The sequence below is a fragment of the Homo sapiens genome, chromosome 11 (genome assembly GCF_000001405.40).
Source record: "Homo sapiens chromosome 11, GRCh38.p14 Primary Assembly".
Taxonomy (NCBI): Eukaryota; Metazoa; Chordata; class Mammalia; order Primates; family Hominidae; genus Homo; species Homo sapiens.
The window spans coordinates 120,078,113-120,102,867 of NC_000011.10; the positions used below are offsets into that span (position 1 = coordinate 120,078,113).

The following is a 24,755-nucleotide window of genomic DNA, read 5'->3' on the forward strand; positions in this document are numbered from 1 at the left end:
GGGATTACATGCATGAGCCACTGCGCCCGGCCCCATAATTTTACTTTTGTGAGTTTATTACTCAGCCTTTAAAATCCAACTCGAGTCAGTTTCTTCTGCCTTCTCCTTGCCTCTGTGTCCCCTCCCTAAAAGTTACAACTGTCCATCAGTGACTCTCCCCAGCGTGGGTTCCTGCTTCCTTTCACTTCAGAATTCATTGCCTATGTTGCAGTTATTTCCTATTTGCTTCTGTTTGTCTCCCTCAAGGGCAGGGACCAAGTATTGTTCCTCTGACTCCCAGCCCCAAGCTCTGTGCCTGGCTCTGTGAATGTTGGCTGAATAAATGACGATGTGGCTGAATGAAACCTCCTCTTATTTGACCTAAACTCACCTCAATCAAGTCTCAAAGTTAGGCTTTCATCGTGGAGCTGGAATTAAGTAGGATTAAAGTTAATGCTGTCCTGGCTGACATAACTCTCTCACTCCTTCTGTTTCTTCCAAGGGTAGAAGATCAAGGCAGCATACAGGTCATAGGGAAGCCACGTGGTGTTTGTTCCTAGCCAAATAAGGAAGATCTTCTTATTGAAAGTGGTCTGGAGGGAGGGAGTCAATCCGCCAACAGATATGAAGTAATCAGGTGGGCTGAGTTTAGGGGATGCAACGGACAAAGGAGTAGAAGCCCAGGAGGGGCTAGCAGTCAACTGCTACTGAGTCATGGGTTCCATATCAGTTCAAGCTTCAGTCCTTACAGGATATGAGAATTTCTGTGGAGTGACGTGCAACACAATTTAGGCAATCACCTCCCCCATGTCAGTACCCAGAAAATAACTAAGGAAGGAGCATTCTGCACAGATTTCAGGAAACCTGATTGATATCTACCTTCCTGGTTCATCATGCTCAGGGGACAGAGGGCTATGATCTCTCCAGCACAGCTCTGTGCAAAGTGTGAGAAGATGGAACTTTCAAATAAACCCCTGGATTTTAGACAAGGCTGAAATTTTATTTGAAGGGATTTGCTTTTGATTTCATTTTCTTAAATGCATTTTTAATAACAAGCCTATTCAATCAAAAGGGGGTATTTGACTGTTTGGAACAGCAGTGGGACCGCCCTCAATGTAATTTGGATACTTTCCTAAACCCATGTCCTTTGATTCTGCCAGTTCAGATCTCTCCTCAGTTGGTAACTCACAAAGCATGGTTGTCAGTGGTGTGGAAAAAACTCAGCTAGGAGTGTCCCTAAAGACACCTCCAGACCCACCCCTGCAAAACAAGACAATCAGTTCCCATTCATTGGACACCAACAAGTGACATCACACAGACGCTGTAAATGTTGAAGGGGGAAGGACTGTGGGGGGCACATAGGCTCAGCCCCTCTCACAACATTGAGACTCCCACGGCCAATCTGCTGGAAAGAAGGAGTGTGAACTGTTCTACCTCCTGTACCTTCCTCCTCCTAGAGAGGGAGGCTGCAGAAGAGCGACACGGCCCTGGGGCTTATCACCAGCCTTCCTGGTTTGGGGATCATGGGAGAAGCAATGAGGAGCATTCTTAGGTCTGATGGGCAGGTCTTGGGACTCTTGAATGAAAACTCCCAAGAGAAACCAGGGAGAAGATAGGTAATGCTAATCTCGGGTTGGGATACTCCAAGAGGCATGGAGGCCCAGCTAATGTCAGGGAGCTGGAGTTGCTGGAGCTTGAGCAGATCTGAGTTAGGCACCAGGAGGTTTTGCACAGATTCCTTCAGTTCGGAAGAGGGCCGGCAGAAGACGCTCCCCGGAGAGCCACCGGTGGGCAGGAGGGAAAAGCAAAGGCGGGAAGCTAGCAGATGGTGGTGGGTGGCACAGTGGCCTGAGCGAGGCCCCCTCGTGGTGGAGTGGAGAGCTGCATGGTAAGCCCGCAGCAGGTGGCTGGGGGGCTCTGGAGCCCCAAGAAAAGCTCCAGGGACCTGGAAGAATTTGACTAGGATGGGAGCCAGGGGTTGGATTTGGCAGTGTTTGGTGTCCCTAACGCCAGGGAGGGCAGTGGGGCAAGGTCATATTCACTTTGAGCTGAGTCTGCCTCTTTATAACTTTGCTCATTTTGACGAATTTGTGACACATTCAATTCAACATTTTCCTAAAGATGTTCAAATCCCAGTAGAGTTGAGATAGTCTGGTAGTCATGTAGACCTTCTCAGCCCAGTGACAATGGCAGAGTCAGGACTTAATCTAAGCAGATCATCTCAAATTTAACATATTCTCATAACAGCCGCCAGAGGGATCCTGTAAGAGCCTGTAGGTGATATCCCTGCTCTGTTCCATCCCCTCCTGCGGCCTCCCATTCCACCTAGAAAGCGCTTACAAAGATTGCAAGGCCCAGCGTGCTCTCGTTTCTGGCACCTCAGACCTCATCCCTGAGGTCGCCTCTCGGTCACCCCATTCCAGCCTTACAGGCCCCTCCCTGGTCTCCAGCACACCAGGCCCATGGGTGCTGCCCTAGCTGCTCCTTCTGCCTTGATCTTCCCCCAGGTGTCCCCATGACCCCAGCCCTCCCCCTGTTAGTTTTTTGCTAGAGCATCATCTCACAAAGGCTAATCTGACCCCTCTGTTTTAAACTGTAGCACCCCCACCATCCCTATGCCCCTCTCCTAACAGAACTTGGAACCATCTGGCAACCTGAGTGTCTAAGTGATCTGCTTATTGCCTGGCTGCCTCCACTAGAAGGTAAAAGCCTGTTGGGGTTGGGATTTTTGTCTGTTTCACTCACCACTGACTGATGAGCCCCTAGAATGGTACCTGGCATGTAGCAAATACTCCAAAAATGTCTGTTGAATGAATAAAGGTGAAGAAGGTGAAGCCTCCTGGCTCTTAGTGTTGACCAACTCAGTCGGCCTGAGCCGCAGATCAAACCACCTTCTAACAGCGCTCCTGCTCCCAGTTCTGCTGGCTCAGCCCTGGCTCTAGACTCTCATATCTGCTTTCTGCTCTTTCCCATTGCCTGGCTCAACTCTGTGTCTCCCCGCCACCCCCACCATGACAATAGGGGCCATGCACATGGGCCTCAGCTCAGCATTTTCCACAGCAGCGATACACCTGCCTCACCTCAGCATTTCCCTCGGCAGTGATCCACCTGCCTCACCCCAGCATTTCTCACAACAGTGATCCACCTGCCTCATCCCAGCATTTCCCACGGCAGTGATCCACCTGCCTCACCCCAGCATTTCCCACGGCAGTGATCCACCTGCCTCACCCCAGCATTTCCCACAACAGTGATCCACCTGCCTCACCCCAGCATTTCCCACAACAGTGATCCACCTGCCTCAACCCAGCATTTTGCACAACAGTGATCCACCTGCCTCACCTCAGCATTTCCCATGGCAGTGATCCACCTGCCTCACCTCGGCATTTCCCATGGCAGTGATCCACCTGCCTCACCCCAGCATTTCCCACAACAGTGATCCACCTGCCTCACCTCGGCATTTCCCACGGCAGTGATCCACCTGCCTCACCTCGGCATTTCCCACGGCAGTGATCCACCTGCCTCACCCCAGCATTTCCCACAACAGTGATCGACCTGGCTCACCTCAGCATTACCCATGGCAGTGATCCACCTGCCTCACCCCAGCATTTCCCACAACAGTGATCCACCTGCCTCACCCCAGCATTTCCCACAACAGTGACCCACCTGCCTCACCTCGGCATTTCCCACGTCAGTGATCCACCTGCCTCACCTCAGCATTTCCCACAACAGTGATCCACCTGCCTCACCCCGACATTTCCAACAGCAGTGATCCACCTGCCTCAGCTCAGCATTTCCCAAAACAGTGATCCACTTGCCTCACCTCGGCATTTCCCACGGCAGTGATTCACCTGCCTCACCCCAGCATTTCCCATGGCAGTGATCCACCTGCCTCACCTCGGCATTTCCCACAACAGTGATCCTGCCTCACCTCGGCATTTCCCACGGCAGTGATCCACCTGCCTCACCTCGGCATTTCCCACGGCAGTGATCCACCTGCCTCACCTCGGCATTTCCCACGGCAGTGATCCACCTGCCTCACCTCGGCATTTCCCACAACAGTGGTCCATCTGCCTCACCTCAGCATTTCCCATGGCGGTGATCCACCTGCCTCACATCAGCATTTCCCACAACAGTGATCCACCTGCCTCACTTCGGCATTTGCCACGTCAGTGATCCACCGGCCTCAGCTCAGCATTTCCCACAACAGTGATCCACCTGCCTCACCTCGGCATTTCCCACAACAGTGGTCCACCTGCCTCACCTTGGCATTTCCCACAACAGTGATCCACTTGCCTCACCTCGGCATTTCCCACGGCAGTGATCTACCTGCCTCACCTAGGCATTTCCCACAACAGTGGTCCACCTGCCTCACCTCGGCATTTCCCATAGCAGTGATCCACCTGCCTCACCCCAGCATTTCCCACAACAGTGATCCATCTGCCTCACCTCGGCATTTCCCACAACAGTGATCCACCTGCCTCACCTCGGCATTTCCCATAGCAGTGATCCACCTGCCTCACCCCAGCATTTCCCACAACAGTGATCCACCTGCGTCACCTCGGCATTTCCCACAACAGTGATCCACCTGCGTCACCTCGGCATTTCCCATAGCAGTGATCCACCTGCCTCACCCCAGCATTTCCCATAACAGTGATCCACCTGCCTCACCTCAGCATTTCCCACAACAGTGATCCACCTGCCTCACCCCGACATTTCCAACAGCAGTGATCCACCTGCCTCAGCTCAGCATTTCCCAAAACAGTGATCCACTTGCCTCACCTCGGCATTTCCCACGGCAGTGATTCACCTGCCTCACCCCAGCATTTCCCATGGCAGTGATCCACCTGCCTCACCTCGGCATTTCCCACAACAGTGATCCTGCCTCACCTCGGCATTTCCCACGGCAGTGATCCACCTGCCTCACCTCGGCATTTCCCACGGCAGTGATCCACCTGCCTCACCTCGGCATTTCCCACAACAGTGATCCTGCCTCACGCCATCATTTCCCACAACAGTGATACACCTGCCTCACCTCGGCATTTCCCACAACAGTGGTCCACCTGCCTCACCTCGGCATTTCCCATAGCAGTGATCCACCTGCCTCACCCCAGCATTTCCCACAACAGTGATCCATCTGCCTCACCTCGGCATTTCCCACAACAGTGATCCACCTGCCTCACCTCGGCATTTCCCATAGCAGTGATCCACCTGCCTCACCCCAGCATTTCCCACAACAGTGATCCACCTGCGTCACCTCGGCATTTCCCACAACAGTGATCCACCTGCGTCACCTCGGCATTTCCCATAGCAGTGATCCACCTGCCTCACCCCAGCATTTCCCATAACAGTGATCCACCTGCCTCACCTCAGCATTTCCCACAACAGTGATCCACCTGCCTCACCCCGACATTTCCAACAGCAGTGATCCACCTGCCTCAGCTCAGCATTTCCCAAAACAGTGATCCACTTGCCTCACCTCGGCATTTCCCACGGCAGTGATTCACCTGCCTCACCCCAGCATTTCCCATGGCAGTGATCCACCTGCCTCACCTCGGCATTTCCCACAACAGTGATCCTGCCTCACCTCGGCATTTCCCACGGCAGTGATCCACCTGCCTCACCTCGGCATTTCCCACGGCAGTGATCCACCTGCCTCACCTCGGCATTTCCCACAACAGTGATCCTGCCTCACGCCATCATTTCCCACAACAGTGATACACCTGCCTCACCTCGGCATTTCCCACAACAGTGGTCCACCTGCCTCACCTCGGCATTTCCCACAACAGTGATCCACCTGCCTCACCCCCGCATTTCCCACAATAGTGATCCTGCCTCACCCCATCATTTCCCACAACAGTGATCCACCTACCTCACCTTGGCATTTCCCACAACAGTGGTCCACCTGCCTCACCTCGGCATTTCCCACAACAGTGGTCCACCTGCCTCACCTCGGCATTTCCCACTACAGTGGTCCACCTGCCTCAGCTCCGCATTTCCCACAACAGTGATCCACCTGCCTCACCTCGGCATTTCCCACAACAGTGATCCACCTGCCTCACCTCGGCATTTCCCACAACAGTGGTCCACCTGCCTCACCTCGGCATTTCCCACAACAGTGATCCACCTGCCTCATCTCGGCATTTCCCACGGCAGTGATCCACCTGCTTCACCTCGGCATTTCCCACAACAGTGCTCCACCTGCCTCACCTCGGCATTTCCCACGGCAGTGATCCACCTGCCTCACCTTGGCATTTCCCACAACAGTGGTCCACCTGCCTCACCTCAGCATTTCCCACGGCAGTGATCCACCTGCCTCACCCCGGCATTTCCCACAACAGTGGTCCACCTGCCTCACCTCGGCATTTCCCACAACAGTGGTCCACCTGCCTCACCTCGGCATTTCCCACAACAGTGGTCCACCTGCCTCACCCCGGCATTTCCCACGGCAGTGGTCCACCTGCCTCACCTCGGCATTTCCCACGGCAGTGATCCACCTGCCTCACCCCGGCATTTCCCACAACAGTGATCCACCTACCTCACCCCGGCATTTCCCACAACAGTGGTCCACCTGCCTCACCTCGGCATTTCCCACGGCAGTGATCCACCTGCCTCACCTCGGCATTTCCCACAACAGTGGTCCACCTGCCTCACCTCGGCATTTCCCATAGCAGTGATCCACCTGCCTCACCCCGGCATTTCCCACAACAGTGATCCACCTGCCTCACCTCGGCATTTCCCACAACAGTGATCCACCTACCTCACCTCGGCATTTCCCACAACAGTGGTCCACCTGCCTCACCTCGGCATTTCCCACAACAGTGGTCCACCTGCCTCACCCCGGCATTTCCCACAACAGTGGTCCACCTGCCTCACCTCGGCATTTCCCACGGCAGTGATCCACCTGCCTCACCCCGGCATTTCCCACAACAGTGATCCACCTACCTCACCCCGGCATTTCCCACAACAGTGGTCCACCTGCCTCACCTCGGCATTTCCCACAACAGTGGTCCACCTGCCTCACCTCGGCATTTCCCACGGCAGTGATCCACCTGCCTCACCTCGGCATTTCCCACAACAGTGGTCCACCTGCCTCACCTCGGCATTTCCCATAGCAGTGATCCACCTGCCTCACCCCGGCATTTCCCACAACAGTGATCCACCTGCCTCACCTCGGCATTTCCCACAACAGTGATCCACCTACCTCACCTCGGCATTTCCCACAACAGTGGTCCACCTGCCTCACCTCGGCATTTCCCACAACAGTGGTCCACCTGCCTCACCTCGGCATTTCCCATAGCAGTGATCCACCTGCCTCACCTCGGCATTTCCCACAACAGTGGTCCACCTGCCTCACCTCGGCATTTCCCACAACAGTGGTCCACCTGCCTCACCCCAGCATTTCCCACAACAGTGATCCACCTGCCTCACCTCGGCATTTCCCATGGCAGTGATCCACCTGCCTCACCCCAGCATTTCCCACAACAGTGGTCCACCTGCCTCACCTCGGCATTTCCCACAACAGTGGTCCACCTGCCTCACCTTGGCATTTCCCACAACAGTGGTCCACCTGCCTCACCTCGGCATTTCCCACAACAGTGGTCCACCTGCCTCACCTCGGCATTTCCCACGGCTGTGGTCCACCTGCCTCACCTCGGCATTTCCCACGGCAGTGACCCACCTGTCACACCCCAGCATTTCCCACAGCAGTGCTCAACCTGTCTCCATAAAAACCTTCCTTGATTTTGAGACTCTTAATGACACTCCAGTCCCTCACATCCTCTCTTTCAGTCAAAGCAATCCCAATATCTTTTAAAAACGTCTTGTACCATTATTTCAGGCCACTTAGCCATCTGTTTGACCAACATAGATGATCCTGTAGCCACAGGAGAAGCCATCCTCAGGAGAAGAAGGCTTGCCAGGCCAGGCAGGGTTTCTCAGTGCTTGACCTGCCTGTGGGCCTCCACAGCAGGACAAACCTGGCCCAAAGCCCCTCCCGATGGAATCACCACCGTGCCAAAATGAAGAAGGACAGTCCACTTTTGAGGCTGCCTCCTGAAGTAAAGGAGCATGTGTTCTCAGAGTCATCAAGTGCTGGAGGACCCAAAAGAGGAGTTCAATAGACACAGGCCCCATGCTTCCAAGGTAAAGCCTTCCAGGCTCACCGATGTTACCATCCAGAGCTGGCATCTCCACAGCCCTACACAGACACAGGATTTCTCAGAGCCATGGAGCACAACAGAAACACCAGCCATCTGTCTCTTGAAATTTTCAAGGAGGGGGTCCCACACAGCTTGGAAGACACGTTAAGGCACGTGTTGCGCTTACACCATGTTGTGTGTGCAGAACGTTCGTGTCTTCCCTTGGATGATCCGAGTGTGAAACAGGCAGGTTCCCATCTACTGCCCCTCTTGATCTCAGCCAGGGGTCCCAGCAGTTCTGGAAGCCCACAGGAGTGAGATACGGCCTGCAAAACTGCTGAGGAGAGAGAGCAAATCCCAGCCGAGCAATGTTCCCAATTGCTCTGCGCCAAATTCAGTTGAAATGAGACACTTTTCAAAAACAATTTCTGGGTAAGTGGTGGAGAAAATAAGAACACTGTGAACACATGGAGGAAAGAAAGGAGCAGCCACCTGAGATCAGTGATGGCTCTTCGTCCGTCAAGCAGAGCGAGCTGGGACGAAACGCGTTCCTCACACACCCTCACACAGAGGCATCAGCCGGGACAATGACTTGTGTGGGTTGTCATGACAATGAAATTGAAACTGGGAAAACAATAGCCACTCAGCCAGCAACCTAACCTCTGAGCTGACCTGTCATTTCGATTGCAGCCGCCTGGGCCCTACATAGACATTGGGAGATGAACATCTCTCAGGGCAGGCTTTGATAACAGGTGGCTAAACATGAGGTTAGAAATCAACTGAATCTTTTTGCTCCTCCATAAGCCAAGCTAGGGAATTCAGCAGCATCCTCTATAAGGTCTCCAGAGCCTGTGGAGGGACAACAGAGCACAGAAAGTTAATGCAACGGACCCAAAGACACACAGCATGTCAGCAGAAAAGGCTAAGAATTGCTACCCCATCCTAAATTCAAAATCCCTTGGAAGTCATTGCCGGCTTACTGAGGGTAGCACTTCTAAAGCTCAACAGGGCTTCCTGGCATTCCTCACCAAATGGACCAAGGCAAAATTTAATTATTGTCTCTGTTAGAACTTGAAAATCCCTTTGCAGTTCTAAGGCAAACGCAAATGCATTTTCTGCGGACTCTGTGCCACCCTCCCTTCCTTCTCTGGTTGCCTCAGACACATCTGCAGAAGCTGAGCACCAGGAAAGTGAATAGAATATGCCCCAAAGGGCTCAACTTGACTTTAAAAAATGGTATTATTATTTATATTTAATAGCAGCTTCAGAGAAAGCAGCAGATCCTAGGGCATGGCAGAAATGTAAATGCTAACTGATTGTTATTCTTACAGAAACTTAGAATTCCAAAGTTTAATCATCCTCATTAGCATAATTTGGGCGACTTCAGTCCATAACTTTACCCTGGAGTTGATTATTTATGGCGCCCTGAACAGAAGTCAAAAATTAACTTTGATTTAATGTAACAATTCCATCCCCAATATAATTCATAATGCAGATACATTTGTCAAAAATAAATCAGGCTGCTCACCCATCTCAGAACAGGAAACCAAGAAAGGAATAGAAAGAGACCCTAATCTTTTTCTGTAGTTGTTCTGGCTCTCCCTTCCCCTGCTGAAGTCTGCGCTTGCTCAGGGACTAGCTTTGGAGAAGACCTAGAGCTTCAGGGTGGAGAAAAATCTATGGATCAGGCAGATAGGCCAGGAGGCAGTGGAGGTTCCCTCGGGATGAACATCTTGCATCTCCTGAGAGCTTTATCCAAGTAAGCAGCTTTCTAAAAAGACAGGATGAGAAAGTCATCCCAGGGAGCTCATCTGGCGGGAGGGTTGTGTGGAGAGCATAATGTAACCCCTTGCATGTGTTTGAAGTTCATCGATTTACAGTTTGCTTCCACCTGTAGTATTTCATTTACTCCTCACCACTTTAGGTAGGGCAGCTGGGAACTGAGGCCTGGGGAAGTTAAGCAACTTGTCTCTGTCCCACAGCTTGTAAAAGGCAGTGTTGACCCTGGGATCCTGGTCTCCTGGCTCCTCAGGCAGAGCTCTCGGGCTGTCTGCATGTGGAAGGAAAGGTGCTTGGGTATGCAGCCTGTCTCCTGGCCCAGGGAAGCAGAGCCCTTATGGACTCCATCAAGGGCTTGGGGTGACAGTGGGAGATGATGCTCCCAGAGCAGACAGGAGAAATTTTCAAGACACTACTAGCTCACCAATTTCCAAGAGCTCAGAAGCAGCATTTATTTCTTCTACAGGAAACACTTAGAAAATATAAGTCCTGGGGCCGGGCACGGTGGCTCATGCCTGTAATCCCAGCACTTTAGGAAGCCAAGGTGGGCGGATCACTTTGAGATCAGGAGTTTGAGACCAGCCTGGCAACATGGTGAAACCCCGTCTCTAATAAAAAATATAAAAATTAGCTGGGCATGGTGGCGTGCACCTGTAATCCCAGCTACTTGGGAGGTTGGGACAGGAGAATCGCTTGAACTCAGGAAGCAGAGGTTGCAGCGAGCTGAGATGGCACCACTGCACTCCAGCCTGGGCAACAAGAGCAAAATTCCATCTAAAATGTGTGTGTGTGTGTGTGTGTGTGTGTGTGTGTGTGTGTGTTTATGTGTGTATTCCCCACACATAGGACAAAAAGAACCCTAGGAGACCTCTCCTAGATGATGGGGTCAGAGTCATCCTAGGATTATGGTTAGACTTATAGACTTACCCTACTATGAATATATTTGCCTCTGCAAGGTACCAAGTTCTCTACCAAGGAAGAAATCTCTTTCCGTGGACAGTACCAAGGAGCCAGACGGGCACTTCTGTGGAGCTCTTCCTCCCTGCTAATTCTCTCTCTGGACTGCTGAAGCCGCCCAGACGTGCCAAGTTTTAGTGGCAACAGGTTTGCCTGCCAGTAACCAACATCCTCTACCTCTCCCCACAAGCACCTACAGGCTGACAATGCCAACTCTCCCTTTTCCATGCCAGGCAGAGCTGATGCTAGCTCACAACAGGCAGCAGAACCCTGTGCCAACAGCCAGAGTCTGGCCCAGTGGCTGGCAGGAAAGTGACCACATTCAGACTATGCCATTTGGCTCTTTGGCTTCTGCTCTGGAAAAAAAAAAAAAACTGGCTGAGAAGAGGTAAAAGCTTTTGGCAAAATATAAAGTTCGCATTCTCTTGGTCTCAACTCAGCAGGGATAGTGATGGGTTGGCATGTCTTCTGTGTATATATGTGTGTATGTGCACACATGTACACACGTGCATCCTCACACTCAATCACGTATTTTTAACAGCTATAAAACTAAGACAGAACCAGGCCAAAAGGCTCGTTGTGAAAGAGAAAGCACCCAGGGCCTTAGATAAAATTGTAACCAATCTTAGTTTGGGTCACCATGACATTAGAACAATGAATTGATTCATTCAATTAGAACAATCAGTTGGTTCATCCAATTCAAACAACCACCTGATCTCACCAATGAAAAAAAAAAACAACAACAACAAGTCAGTTGTTAAAGCCTTTGTTGACCAAACACACAAGGAGTTGGCTGAATTGATGTTTTACCAACTAAAAGCTTGTGATGCTGTACAGACATGGCTTGTGGCTCACCCCTTCCTGGGTGTCACTTCACTGAAAGAAAGAATATGGCATTTTGGTCTCTTCTGATTCTATTTCTAGGTAAGTGATGTTAACTATAACAACAGCAATAACAACAATGGGTACATGTGCACATGGGAATATCTGCTGTGAGCCAAGCACTCTACTGTGTCCTTCATATACTTTCAAATAATTCTCACAACAACCCTATGACATCAATGTTGTTATTATCCTCCCGACTTTAAATATGAGAAAACTGAGGTTGAGAGCAGTTAAATAACTTGCCCAAGGTCATACAGCTAGTCAGTGATTGATCCAAGGCCCAGACCTGGGCCATTTTCCTCCTCTTTACATGTGTTCACATGTGTGCTGTTGTCTCCCCAACTAGAATGTAAGTTCCATGACAGAAGTGACCTTGTCTATATTGTTTGTTCTTGGATTCCCAGATTGAAAACAGTGCCAATAGACAGGCACAGAATAGACTCTCAGTAAATAACTATCGAATGAATGAATCAGCCTCACCTCAACTGCGAGATGAAACCAAGCAGCTTCATATCCACCTCTGAAGTGAAGCCCCAACACAGACAGTATCCAAGGATGGGTAATGGGGTGTGGCCCTCCCAGAGAACAAGGATTGGGTGAGTCCTTGCTCTCTGCTGTTGGCAGGGACAGGTGGACAGACACTTCCCTGCCCCAATCAATGCAGGTTTCCATCAGTCATTTGTCTCCATGATAGGCCCCTGTGCTGGGAACACCCTGTGCCTCTCGTCACCCGGTATCATGGCACAGGCATCCATACTCCATCTTGCCAGGCAGCTTTCACAGGTGGGCAGCGGATGGCACTGGTGTTTTGGCAATCCAGCTGGACAAGTTTCTACCTGAACTTTGGCTCTGCCAGTGACTGGGTGGAGGAGCCAGAAAAAAGGTCTGGACAAAGGAAAGTGCCTTCTATTTCTGCTTCCCAACCCCACAGGGCCAGGAGGAAGGGATGATGTGCTGAGGATGGTGGGAAGCACCACTGAGAACATACATTCTTTGAGCATTTAGGATCTCGGGTCTCCCATTCATCCTCTGGCTTTCAGACATACCTGCGCAGAACTCACCTGGGACAGGCCTGCAGACATGAAGCACCTCATATTGCATCTGATCCATCATGTTCAGAACTGCAATCCCTCTTGATGGGCAATGCCATGAGAGTGGAGAAATTCAGCAGTCCGAGATTTGTCTCTAGGGCATAAGATGGAGCAAGCACCAATTCTCAACCTAGCCTCTCAGACAAATGTGTTGTTGCTACTGTTGTTTGCAAAGACCCTGGTCCTATTTATAAGCCTTGTTCTTTGCTCCTCCTAGGGACATGAGAAACTGTACAAATAAGAAGGCAGGTTTAACCCTTTCCTTGTTGTGGATAGACACTTGCCAGAGAAGTGTAGGAGTGAGTAGCTTGCAAGATTAATACCTCAGGCTTGCAAAATGCATTCTGTTTGCCAAAGCATTTTCTCATTTCAGCCTTATGACTGTAAGATAAGGGATACTTTTTTAAGTTCATATTACAGATGAGAAAACAAAGGCTGAGCCAAGGCCTCAAAGATCATTCTAGGCCACCTTCCCTCTCCTTCTACCCAGGTTCCAGGCCCGTGGAGAGCAGGAGAAGAGAAAGAGTGGTGCTAACAGGCCACCTTGATAGAGCACTGTTCCTTGGTGAAAGGTCACCTGTCCCTGAACCTGCTCTGTGAGGGCTGCGCCAGGCAAAGCGCTTGCAGTCGTGAATTTTATGTCAACTCTACTCAGCCACAAGGTGCTCAGACTTTTGGTCAATAATTACTCTGTGTGTCTGCAAGAGTGTTTCTCAATGAGATTAACATTCGAATCGCTGCTAAAGAAGGCACATGGCCCTCCCTAATCTAGGTGGCCCTTATCCAATCGGTTGAAGTCCTGAATAGAACAAAAATGCTGACCCTCCCAAAATTAAGAGGGAATTCCTCCTGCCTGACTGTCTTCAAGCTGGGACATTGGTAGTTTCTTCACTTGAACTGGAACGTCACCTTTTCCTGGTCTTGAGCCTGCTGGCTGCAGATCTTGGGATTTGTTGACCCCCAAAATTGCATGAGCTAATTCCTTAAATAAATCTTTCTTAATACATATATATACACACATCCCATTGGTTCTGTTTCTCCAGAGAGCCTTGACTAATACAGGGCCCCAGAGGCTCTGAGCAGGAGACGAGCTGGGAAACCGGCTGAGAAGGCTGGCCTCCTCCCACCCCGGCACCAATAGAGAAAGAAAGTGTTTCCTGCTCTTCCACATATGCTCCTCTCTATAAGCTGCCCTTCCTTCCCCAAAGCATTTCTTCAAAAATATTTATTGACACCCAGCATGTGCCAGGCTTTTGGTGTATGGGTGTATCAGGGAACGAAATAGACCAAAATCCTTGCCCTCATGGAGCTCAGATTCCATTGCAAAGATAATAAGAAAATTAGTCTATTATGAGGCGAGAAAGACTAAGAACAAACAGAAAGTAGATCAGCATTGGGTGATTAGGTGCGTTGGAGTGGGGGAATAGTGTTGAAGGGAATTGAGGACAGGCCTCTGTAGGGAGGTGAGATTTGCATGAAGATTTGAAGGAGGTGAGGGAATGAGCCAAGCAGGTATTTGGGTGAAGATTAACCCAAACTGAGGGCATAACCAGAGCAAAGGCTCTGAGAAGGGAGATGCCTGGAACTGCAGAGGCCAGTGTGGCTGGTGCAGAGAGGGAGCAGAGGGAAGGGCAGAGCCCTAAGACATGGGAATGAGGTAGCCCGAGGCCTGAGGGGACACCCAGCGGGGGGCTTTTGCAGGGTTTCTGGCTGAGGAGTAGCACAATCTGATTTAGGTTTTTTGTTTTTTTTGTTTTGTTTTGTTTTTTTGAGACAGAGTCTTGTTCTGTCACCCAGGCTGGAGTGCAGTGTGTGGTCTCAATTCACTGCAAGCTCCGCCTCCTGGGTTCAATTGATTCTCCTGCCTCAGCCTCCTGAGTAGCTGGGACTACAGGTGTGTGCCACCATGCCCAGCTAATGTTTTGTATCTTTAGTAGAGACGGGGTTCGATGTTAGCCAGAATGGTCTTGATCTCCTGACCTCATGATCTGCCCACCTCAGGCTCCCAAAGTGCTGGGATTACAGGCCTGAGCCACCGAGCCCGGCCTGATTTAGGTTTTAAAAGGATCCCTCTGAAATTGAGTGTGGTGGTGCACACCTGTGGTCTCAGCTACCCAGGAGGCCAAGGTAGGAGGATCGCTTAAGCCCAGGGGTAACAGTCTATGATGAGCCATGATTGTACCACTGCACTCCAGCCTGGGCAACAGAGTGAGACCTCATCTCCAGTTTAAAAAAATAAACAATTTTTAAAATTAAAAAAAAAAAAAGGATCCCTCTGGGAGCATGTGGAGAACACGTTGTAAAGCAGGCAAGAATAGAAGCAGGGAGGCCAGTTAGGAGGCTCTTGTCAAAATCCAGACCAGAGGCCTGGTGCCCCCACCCAAGGTGATGCCAGGGCTCAGACTCTGGATGGAGTCAAGCAAAGATGGAGACGCCCCAGAGCTTCGCAGACAAGTTCCAGGGTTCTGGGCCCTTCTGCTCTCTGCCCAGGGAAGTGTCCTAAAGACACTTTCTTTGCTGGGACCCCAGGGGGAAATGCCTACTCGCAGCGAGGGATAGTCTTTGCTCTGGTGGGGGCTGGAAAGGATGATGAGAAGGACAAGTTCTAGCTCCTTCCCCAATATCTGGGTGAGCCATTAAGGGCTGATGACATCATATAAGTCCTAGAGCTGAAGCAGGGGCTCAAGAGGAAAAGGATAATTGTCTCTCCCATGAGTACAGTCGGTGGTGTGCTGGCAAATCTTTAACAGCTGGCTCTCTGGGAAAAACGTGAATGTATATGTGTAATTTTACAGGTCTAAAGAATGTGTGGCATATATCTTACAAATAATAATAAAATATATATGATCCTTTATCATAAATTCCATATAAACAACTGATTCTCACAGAATGCTTTAGTTGATTTTTGCAGAACTCCTGTATTTGCAGCCAGCCTATGATCGCAATTGACAAGCCAGTGTAATACCCACAGGAATGTTGGTTGATATTTTCATTTCCATTAATGGGTTTTTAAAAAAAAAAAAGTGAAATGGGCCGGGCATGGTGGCTCATGCCTGTAATCCTAGCACTTTGGGAGGCCGAGACGGGCAGTTCATGAGGTCAGGATTTGAAGACCAGCCTGACCAACATGGTGAAACACCGTTTCTACTAAAAATACAAAAAAAAAAAAAAAAATTAGCTGGGCATGGTGGCAGGCACCTGTAATCCCAGCTACTCAGGAGGCTGAGGCAGAAAAATTCCTTGAACCCGGGAGGCAGAGGTTGCAATGAGCCAAGATCACACCATTGCACTCCATCCTGGGCAACAAGAGCAAAACTCCATCTCAAAAAAACAAAAAAGAAAAAAAGTGAAATGACAAAACTATTTGTTGAAACTTCCCTTGTTCATCAACGATGTGAATGACTTCTTTGTGGCATCAGATATTAGTTTCACTTACTGCAAGAATATTTCCTCATTTTTCATTAATGTGTAATAGCCACAGACACAGCACACTTTTAAGTTTAATCTGCATCATTAAGATATTCTCCATCTTTTTTTTTTTTTTTTTTTTTTTTGAGATGGACTCTCACTCTGTCACCCAGGCTGGAGTGCAGTGGTGTGATCTCGGCTCACTGCAACCTCCACCTCCCGGGTTCAAGCGATTCTCCTGCCTCAGCCTCCCAAGTAGCCGGAATTATAGGCATGCGCCACCACACCTGGCTAATTTTTGTATTTTTGGTAGAGACACCGTTTCACCATGTTAGCAGGTTGGTTTCAAAATCCTGACCTCAGGTGATCCGCCCGCTTCAGCCTCCCAAAGCGCTGAGATTACAGGTGTGAAGCACCATGCCCCGCCCCTCCATCGCTTTTTAAAGTCTGGATAAAGAACAGAACAATGAATGAAACCCTGATTTAGAGTCTTTGTCAATTCCATATTGTGAATATTCCCACCCTGGCTCATTTCAAGCTGACATCATTGCGTGTGGCACTGGGAAGAGATGCTTGCTGGCATGGCATCGTACAGCCTCTCCACCAGACAGATACCAGAGATGGAAATAATCTCAAGCCTAGATAGTAAAATGTAGTAAAATAATTAGGAAGTAATGAGTTTTGAGTATTTATTACCTTGATGTTTAATATAACTTATTTAATTGTAGTTTATATAATGTAATTTCTAATAATGGCTATGTTTATCAACCAGCTCACAAAATCACTGAAGGTTTAATGCTCGACTCTCGTGAGCCCATAAATGCCAGCTCTAACACCACCCTGACGAGTACAGTGCCTTCATGGAAATTACCCATCTTCCTCACTCAGAGATCAGGAAGCTACCTCTACCAAAAAATGGGGAAACCGAGGCTCAGAGGGGTGAGATGAGATGCCCAAGGCACTGGTAGCTGCTGTCCTAGAGCAAGAGTGGCCTTAAGATATGGGTATGGGGTGAGGGAGGGCGTGGTGGAAATCCAGGAGAGCCAGAGGAAGCAGCTTCATATGGGGGCAGTGAGGGTTGATGGGGATTCCTGAGTGCAAGTGCACCCCTTCCCAGGCCCACATCACCAACCTGGTTCCCCACAGCCTGCCTGGGCCAGCCTCTCAGAACAGGATCTTGGTGGATCATTATGGAGAAGCAGCCTCACCCATGTTTCATAGGCTGTGGTTGATTAACAAATTAGCTGTAAATCACACGCCAATCAACGTAAATAACAAGTTTGTCTACAGGATGGAAAATCTGCCAGTGCCAGCCTCCTCAGCTGGGCTTGTCAGAGTCAGCACAGGAGGATCCGGCCTTGGAGAGTCAGGTGGCCCCACTGGCCCAGTGCCCTAGTGTTTCATTGTCCCTGAATTTAGGGAAAGGCCAAAAGAGGGGTTGAGAGGCTGCAACTGGTGACCCAAAGATCACAGCTGCCCCTTCCATTCTGTACCTGCTCTCCCTTGGAGCACCTTAAATCTCAGAGTCCTGTTTCAGCTCCCCCAAGTTCCTTCTGTACCCACCAGTGCCTCCAAAGTACCCACTTGACACTCTGGTCCCAGAAATGAGAGTTAGATAGTGATTTCAGGTCCTCGCCAGCCTCCCCAGGCCACGCAGGTCCTGGGTGCAGAGGGAGGAGCAGCCCATGGCCCTGAGCAGCCAGGGAGGGAGGCTGAGCAGTGGCCTTGAGTGTGGTCACTCTGAATTTGGCCCACCCCAGAAGCCGAGGGCAGAGCAGCCTCCTGGGATTCTGGATGCTGGAAGGGGTGAGGAAGGAGGGGAAGCATAGCCAGCAACTGGCCAGAGAATGACCCACACACCAGCTTCTGTGCCAGGAGGGTACTGTGTTACCTTGGGCAAGTTAAACAGCCTCTCTGAGTTTCCATTTTATGCATGTTCAAAAATGAGTTAGCAATACAACAAATCCTAGGCTTTCACAAATTTCATGTTCAACTGTGTGGTTTTCACTATTTGGTGACATGCTGTTTGCCTGGGCGGTGCCCACTCACAGGCTCTGTTTAACGCCTCCCCAGAAGCCCTTGGTCTGACACCTTACCAGCCTGGATCAAAGCTCAGGAAGGAGGCTCCGATGTCTGCTCCTGCCCTCCTGGCCCTGGCACACTCCCCCCGAATTTCCTTCCCAGTAGGATTTGAAATCTGAGATGCTGTGGCAAAGCACCAGGATCTCTGTGAAGGGGTCTGCATGGCCCTGAGGGGACAGCTCTGCCCACAGCCCTGGTGCTGGGCTTTAATGATCCTGGGTGTGGGACACACATGTGGGCCTGTGCATTCCGCAGACCTAGGCTCAAATGCAGTTTCTGCCACACACAGGTTACATGAATGCAAAGAGGTGACTTGGCCTTTCTGCCTCAGGTACCCTTTTGACCCTTTCCAGAAAGAGGACCTGAAGGGCCTCAGGGCTGATGGCCTGGGACAAAGGACAGGGACTCCTCCCTCCTCGCTTTCCCCCATGGGCCTCCCGCTTCAAATTCCCCAGCCGCTCTTGACAGCTCAGTGCGAGCTCCTCAGCCCCAGAAAGGAGCTGAAATTAGGCTCCGATCAGCCTAGGGGCAACCAGGGAAGACAGAGCTGTGGGAGGTGAGTGGCAGCACAGGAGAAATGGGGAGAAGGCAGATAAAGGGGGGTGGAGACAGAGCGGGAAGGTGGGAGCTGGGAGCGCTGACACAGCACTCACTGCAGATTCCTGCCATAAATCACTCTCAGGGCGGCCTGGGAGCCCTCGCAGCAGGAGGGGGAAGGCTCCAACCCCGGATTCTAAGCCCAGAACATCACCCTAGAGGGCTGGGGAACTCTGGGCATACCTTTGCTCATGCTGGAAGCCTGTTTACCCTACTGCAAAATAGGGAGCACTATCCCCTGCTCTTGGGCCCTGTGCAGAGACCAATTATGTCTCAATGCCAGGGGCATTGACGTCCCCATGCAGAGGTGCATGGATTAGGAATAGGATCATTATTAAGTAATTATCGTTCCTAACGGTTTTAACAACAAAAATCACACAGAGCCAGAAACATGCCTGCTCTGGGGCATGGTGTAATAACTCACATTTATGTGGCGCCTCGCAGCATGAAAACCATGGTCATATATTTTTCTCATTTGATTCTCACAACGCAGCAGTGCAGGTAAGGCAAAGATTTTTCTCCGTGTTTGTTTTACAAACCAGGAATTTCAGGTTCAAAGAGTAAAGGGTCCCCCCGCTCCCCAGGCCATAGAACCGGCTAGTGGGAAGGAGCAGGAACTTGAGCTCAAGTCTTGTGATTCCAGACACTACCTGTTCCCTTCCCATTACCCCTTCCTGAAGGGCCTGGGAATGGAGCTGACTGGGAATGGAGCTGAATCCTAGAAAGGTGACATTATAGGACTTTGGGGTCCGGGTTTGGTTCCCAGCGTGTGACCTCAGAACCTCCTCAGTATAATGGAGATCGTGCCACAAACAGTGCTCAGCTCCTAAAGCTGCTGGATGCATTCGAGGAGATTGTGGACTCAAAGGGCTTAGCTAAGTTCCTAGTGGTGAAAAAGTGCTCAGTAAACATTAGCAATTGTTACCATCATTCCTGTGGTTCAAGGAAAAAGGGGTCACCTGCTGGCTTGCTGGCCACTCTGGAGGCCAAGAGGTGACAATGATGAACTCCCAGCTCTCGCCCCATTTGAGGGGCCGGGGAAGTGATTCCCGTGGCCACTCTCCTTTCCCCCAAGAGGCTCCTCCTTGGGGCCTTCCAGCCCACAGCAGCTGACCCCACAGAGTGTTCATGGAGGATCCCACAGATGATGGCCCTGGGCCCTGGGGAGGAACAAGGCTCTGCTTTGACCTTGGGTGGAACTGACCTGAGCCCGAGGCAGGTGCAGCACAGAGAACTTGCTTCTCATCAGAGCCTCGATTTGGGAGGAAGCTTGGGGCAGGGCAAAGAGCATGACCTGAAAACTGGCTGTGCCTCAACGTCCTCAACTGTAAAAGCAGCTGACAATGGCTGGAGTGGAGAGGGGCTGCAGCTGTCTGGGTGTGGTGTTCCCTCTGTTTTTCCCTGTGTGGAGGCCAGAACGAGCCCCAGGATGCCAGAGCTACCCAAAGCCCCGGATTCACTCCTTCCTGTGAACGTCCCTGGAATGGGACCCTTCATTGGACGGGGCTGATTGAGTGGGAGTGGGAGTCAACAGGAGCACTTGAAGGCCTCTCCCACTTTCCCAGAGCGTGAAGCTGCTGTGGACTTCCAGGCTGACCGCCCCACCTGCCACCCCAAGCCCTCAGAGACTGCCCTGCTCCCCGCCATGGCAGCCTGAACGCCTGGACTCCCTGACGCACCATTGCCTGGTCCTGCAGCCCTGCCTCAGGGCTCCCTTGACCCCCACACTGCAGCAGGGCTTCCATGACCCCTCAAAAGCAAGCATCAGCGCACACTGCCTCCTCCCACATCCCCACCCCATGCCGGGCACCAGTCAGGTGACGCACTCTGAGGCTCTGAGGGCTCCGGTTAAGCGGTGTAAGTTAGCCTGGGTTCTGTTTTGATTTTGCCCAGCTGCATCTGTGTGCATTTAGATTAATCCTGTTAGCTGCTGGGAGTGGGGCTACCTGCTGTTTATCAAGAGCGCTTGTACGATTCCCGCTTGAAATGCAGCCGCCTTCCCTGGGCAGAGAAGCTCCAGTTTCCTTCATCCCACAGCAGCCTCCAGGAAAGGTAGAGCATCCACAGAAGGGGCTGCCTGGTCACCCACCCTGGCTTTGCAGGCGATGGCATGGAGTCTGCAAGCCCCTAGACCCATACCACAGTCTGTGTGTCCTCCCCATCCACAGTACCTACCTAGGTCTCCACTTTTATCACGAGGCCTTTGATCTGCTGCATCTCAGAGTCCAGAAGGTTCCAGGATCATGGGTGTGGCTGCTCTAAGGCCAGTGGGAGGCAGGGGTGCCCTGACCTTTCCCTCGCTTGAGTCATGTGGGTACCAGGTTTGAATGAAGGAAAGTTACAGTTCTGGCCTCTCGCTGTCAGCGGTGGGACCTCAGGCGTGTCCCTTGACTCAGTTTTCTCACCTGTAAGGTGAGAGGAATGCCACCAGGCCTACATATGCAGAAGTTTGTCCTAAAGGTGAAAAGAAGTCATTTGTTGACAGCGCTTTTCCAGCCCTGCTTCGTTATCAGGCACGAGGCAACAAGGATGGCCTGGTGGGCACACGGTTGGAGCAGGGTCCCGTCCTATCCCTGTTCACAACGTGTCATTTAGAAAGTCACCAATACACACAGCCTCTCTGTTTCTTCATCTGTGGAATGGGACGTAGTAAGTAATGCTGCTTAACTACCCACAGTTGAAGTGACGACGAAGGCCGGCTGAGATGAATTCTGGCCCCCATCTGAATGCTCACCGTGTGCTTTCGACACAGCTTCCACTTTCACGCCGCGTAACACGGTGAGGGAGAAACCGCCGCCTTCATACCATTGATATGGAGACCAAAGCCAGAGAGGTAGCAAACACCCAGGTCCAGACCTGGCTCTGCTGCCTCCAAACCTGTGTTCCTGGGAGACATGGAGTGCGTCAAGTGCTGTTCATCTCCATGGGATCGTGTGGGTGGTTTGGCAGGTGGGTGGGGCACCTGCCCAGCCATGATCAGAACTCCCTCATCCCAACACTACATCCCTCTAGTGTTGTGCCCTCTCCTGCTGGGCTCTGAGTGCCGCCAGAGGACACTAGTGCAGCCTCCTCTCCCCCACCCCACCCAGGGGTACACCCAAGCAGTGCCTATTCCCCTAGAAGGCATTCCTCCAGGTTCCATCCATCTTCCCACTTGGGAAATTCTTCCTAAGCAAGGTCACCCATCCCCATAGTCTCCCCTGCACCTGCGTGCTAAGATTCCCCAGACTCTATCTCCACCCACACCTTGCCCACTTCTCTCACAGCCTTTGATGTTTTTTTCCAAGATGGGGGTCTTAGAAAAAAACCTAGGCTGGTCTTGCACTCCTGGGCTAAGTGATCCTCCTGCCTCAGCCTCCTGAGTAGCTGGGACTACAGGTGTGCATCATCACGTTTTTTATGGGTTTACTTCTCTTTCTCTCTTTTTTAACAGCTTTGTTGAGATATAATTTACATACCATACAATTCACGCATTTAAATTACACACTGCAGTGGTTTTTAGTATATTCACAAATATGTGCAACCATAACCACAGCCGATTTTAGAACATTTTCATTATCTCAAAAAGAAACCCTCTACCATTTAGGTATCACTCCTCCATTCCCCTGCCCCACACCCCAGCTCCCGACCTAAGCAAACACCACTCTACTTTCTCTCCCTACAAATTTGTTTATTCTGGACTTTCATATAAATTGAATTATGTAATCAGTGGAATGTTTTAAATCTTGTTTCTTTTAATTTTATCATTTATTTTTATTTATTTAGAGATGGGGCCTTGCTATATTGCCCAGGCTGGAGTACAGTGGCTACTCACAGGCCACTGGAGCACACTGTGGCCTTGAACTCCTGGGATCAAGTGATCCTCCCACCTCAGCCTCCAGAGTAGCTGGGACCACAGGCACGTGCCACTGCACCTGGCAACTTATCATCATGTTTTCAAGGTTAATTCATATTGTAGCATGTATCAGCCCTTCATTTCTTTCTGTGGCTGAATAATATTCCACTGTATGGATAGACCATATTTTGTTTATCCATTCATTAGCTGAATATTCGGATTGTTTCCTCTTTTCATCTATTATCAATAATGCTGCTCTGAGCATTTTTGTACAAGTTTTGCATGGATGTATGTTTTCAATTCTCTTGAGTATCAGCCTAGGAATGGAATTGCTGGGTCTTATGGTGACTCTCCGTTTAGCCGTTTGAGGAACTGCCAGGCTTTGTTCCAGCGTGGCTGCCCCATTTTATACTCCTACACAACTGTATATGAGGGCTCCGGTTTCCCCACAGCCTCGTGCTGGCTATTGTCTGTCTTTGGTTATCCCCATCTTACTGGGTGTGAAGTGGCATTTCCTCGTGGTTTTGATTTGTATTTCCCTGATGCCTGATGATGTGCAGCATCTTTTCATTTGCTTTTTGGTCATTCGTATGCCTTCCATGGAGAAATGGATATTCAGATCCTTTGCCCATATTCTAATTGAGTTATTTGTCTTTTTGATTATTGAGTTGTAAGTGTTCTTTATATATTCTAGATACAAGTCCCACAGCTCAGATTTGAATACCTAACTGAGCCCAGCCTTATGGTTCAGAGGGAAGATAATGACTCGGAATTAGACTGAATTGGATTCAGATTCCCACTCAGACATTTAGTAATGGAGAATGTGCTATTTAACTCACTTGCAGGATAGAGATAATTACACCTGTGAAATAGTACATTCAAGGCTCTTTGTGTTTACCTGTGCAAGTCATGGAGCTTGGAGTTGTTCAACCTTCCCACTGAGATAGGTAAAGAACTGTTATTACTCTTGTTTACAAGTGAGGCAACTGAGGCACAAGGAATTCGCTGTGGATCATGGAATCGTAAGTGGCAGAACTGGAACTTGAACCCACATCTCTGGAACTCTAGTGTCAAGAGCCAAGGTAGGCAATGAATGTGTGTTAAATAAATGAACGAATGCCTTCACTGATGGGGACCTCACTATCTCAAAAAGCAGTCTGCTCTGCTGTTGGATTCTTCTATTTACTACAAAAATCTCACTGTTGTTGAGCAAAACCCACCCATCTCCCATCATAACTCCTTCCCATTGGCCCTGGTTCTGCCCTCTAGAGAATCCCCGATGCCTAGGGTCCAGGGTCAATGCCACTGACTCCAACTCCAGTATACAGAAGTCCTCCCCCATCCCCCACTCATACACACAGGCAGAGCCCCAGCCCTGGCCCATCTGACCCCCAGATGAGGCTGGGAGCACCCACCTCCTGCAGGTCTATTCAGGCTCTCCCACTGGATGCAGAGAGACCCAGATCCCCTCTCCAGGGACCAGGGACTGAGGCTTCCCACTGGGAGATGAAGCCCTTGTCCACAGTGAGTGGGACCCATGGATACTGGCTTTGTGATCTCATCAGTGTCAGGTCACATTATGGCAGGAACAGGACCTAGGTGAGAGCTAAAGGAGCCTGTGGCTGGCTGAAGGGAGAAGGGATGCACAGGGGACTCGCTTGTTCCAGCCATCTGAGCAATCTCACGCTTGGTTAGCTCTGCAAGTGACACTACTTCAGAGCTGGCCCATCGTGGCCCCATAGCTAACCTAACCACGGTATCTGAGACTCCAATTCCAGGCTGTGAGGCCTGGATAGACTTGGAGAGCACTGGGGAGGAGGAGCACATCACCGTATGAGCCTCTGCCACTCCCACTGAGGCAAGAGTGAGCACTGAGTCCCGGCCAACCCCTGCAGACAGCTAGAGCTTCACCTCTGTCTCCAGGAAGCATCATCTCTGGGCCCCGGTATGATGGCCTGCACTTGAGAATTCAGGCTGGACAGGACAGGCTAGGATTGCCCTCTC

The 24,755-nt window shown here is 50.7% G+C and overlaps 1 long non-coding RNA gene across 3 annotated transcripts, besides 2 other annotated features; it reads right to left on the reverse strand.

Annotated features, from left to right (window-relative positions):
• Window positions 1-24,242, reverse strand: LOC105378956 (uncharacterized). 3 transcript variants are annotated; one of them, XR_001748415.1, is made up of 3 exons: window positions 24,167-24,242; window positions 12,800-12,923; window positions 1-743 (listed from the first exon to the last, which is right to left on the reverse strand). It is a non-coding gene; the product is annotated as an uncharacterized LOC105378956 (long non-coding RNA). The 3 variants fall into 3 exon arrangements; XR_948099.2 differs by lacking the exon at window positions 1-743 and adding an exon at window positions 8,887-8,966; XR_001748416.1 differs by lacking the exon at window positions 1-743 and adding an exon at window positions 9,675-9,888.
• Window positions 3,398-4,597: an enhancer, noted in NCBI's record as "P300/CBP strongly-dependent group 1 enhancer chr11:119952219-119953418 (GRCh37/hg19 assembly coordinates)". NCBI's record gives its function as "activates an origin of replication core promoter dependent on BRD2, BRD4, P300/CBP, MED14 and CDK7 cofactors, with strong dependence on P300/CBP, by STARR-seq in HCT116 cells {active_cell/tissue: HCT116}" and the evidence as "EXISTENCE:reporter gene assay evidence [ECO:0000049][PMID:35650434]".
• Window positions 18,620-19,486: an enhancer, noted in NCBI's record as "NANOG-H3K27ac-H3K4me1 hESC enhancer chr11:119967440-119968306 (GRCh37/hg19 assembly coordinates)". NCBI's record gives its function as "activates a minimal SCP1, AML or CMV promoter by ChIP-STARR-seq in naive H9 embryonic stem cells {active_cell/tissue: H9 hESC(naive)}" and the evidence as "EXISTENCE:reporter gene assay evidence [ECO:0000049][PMID:30033119]".
• Window positions 24,243-24,755: the final 513 nt, after the last annotated feature.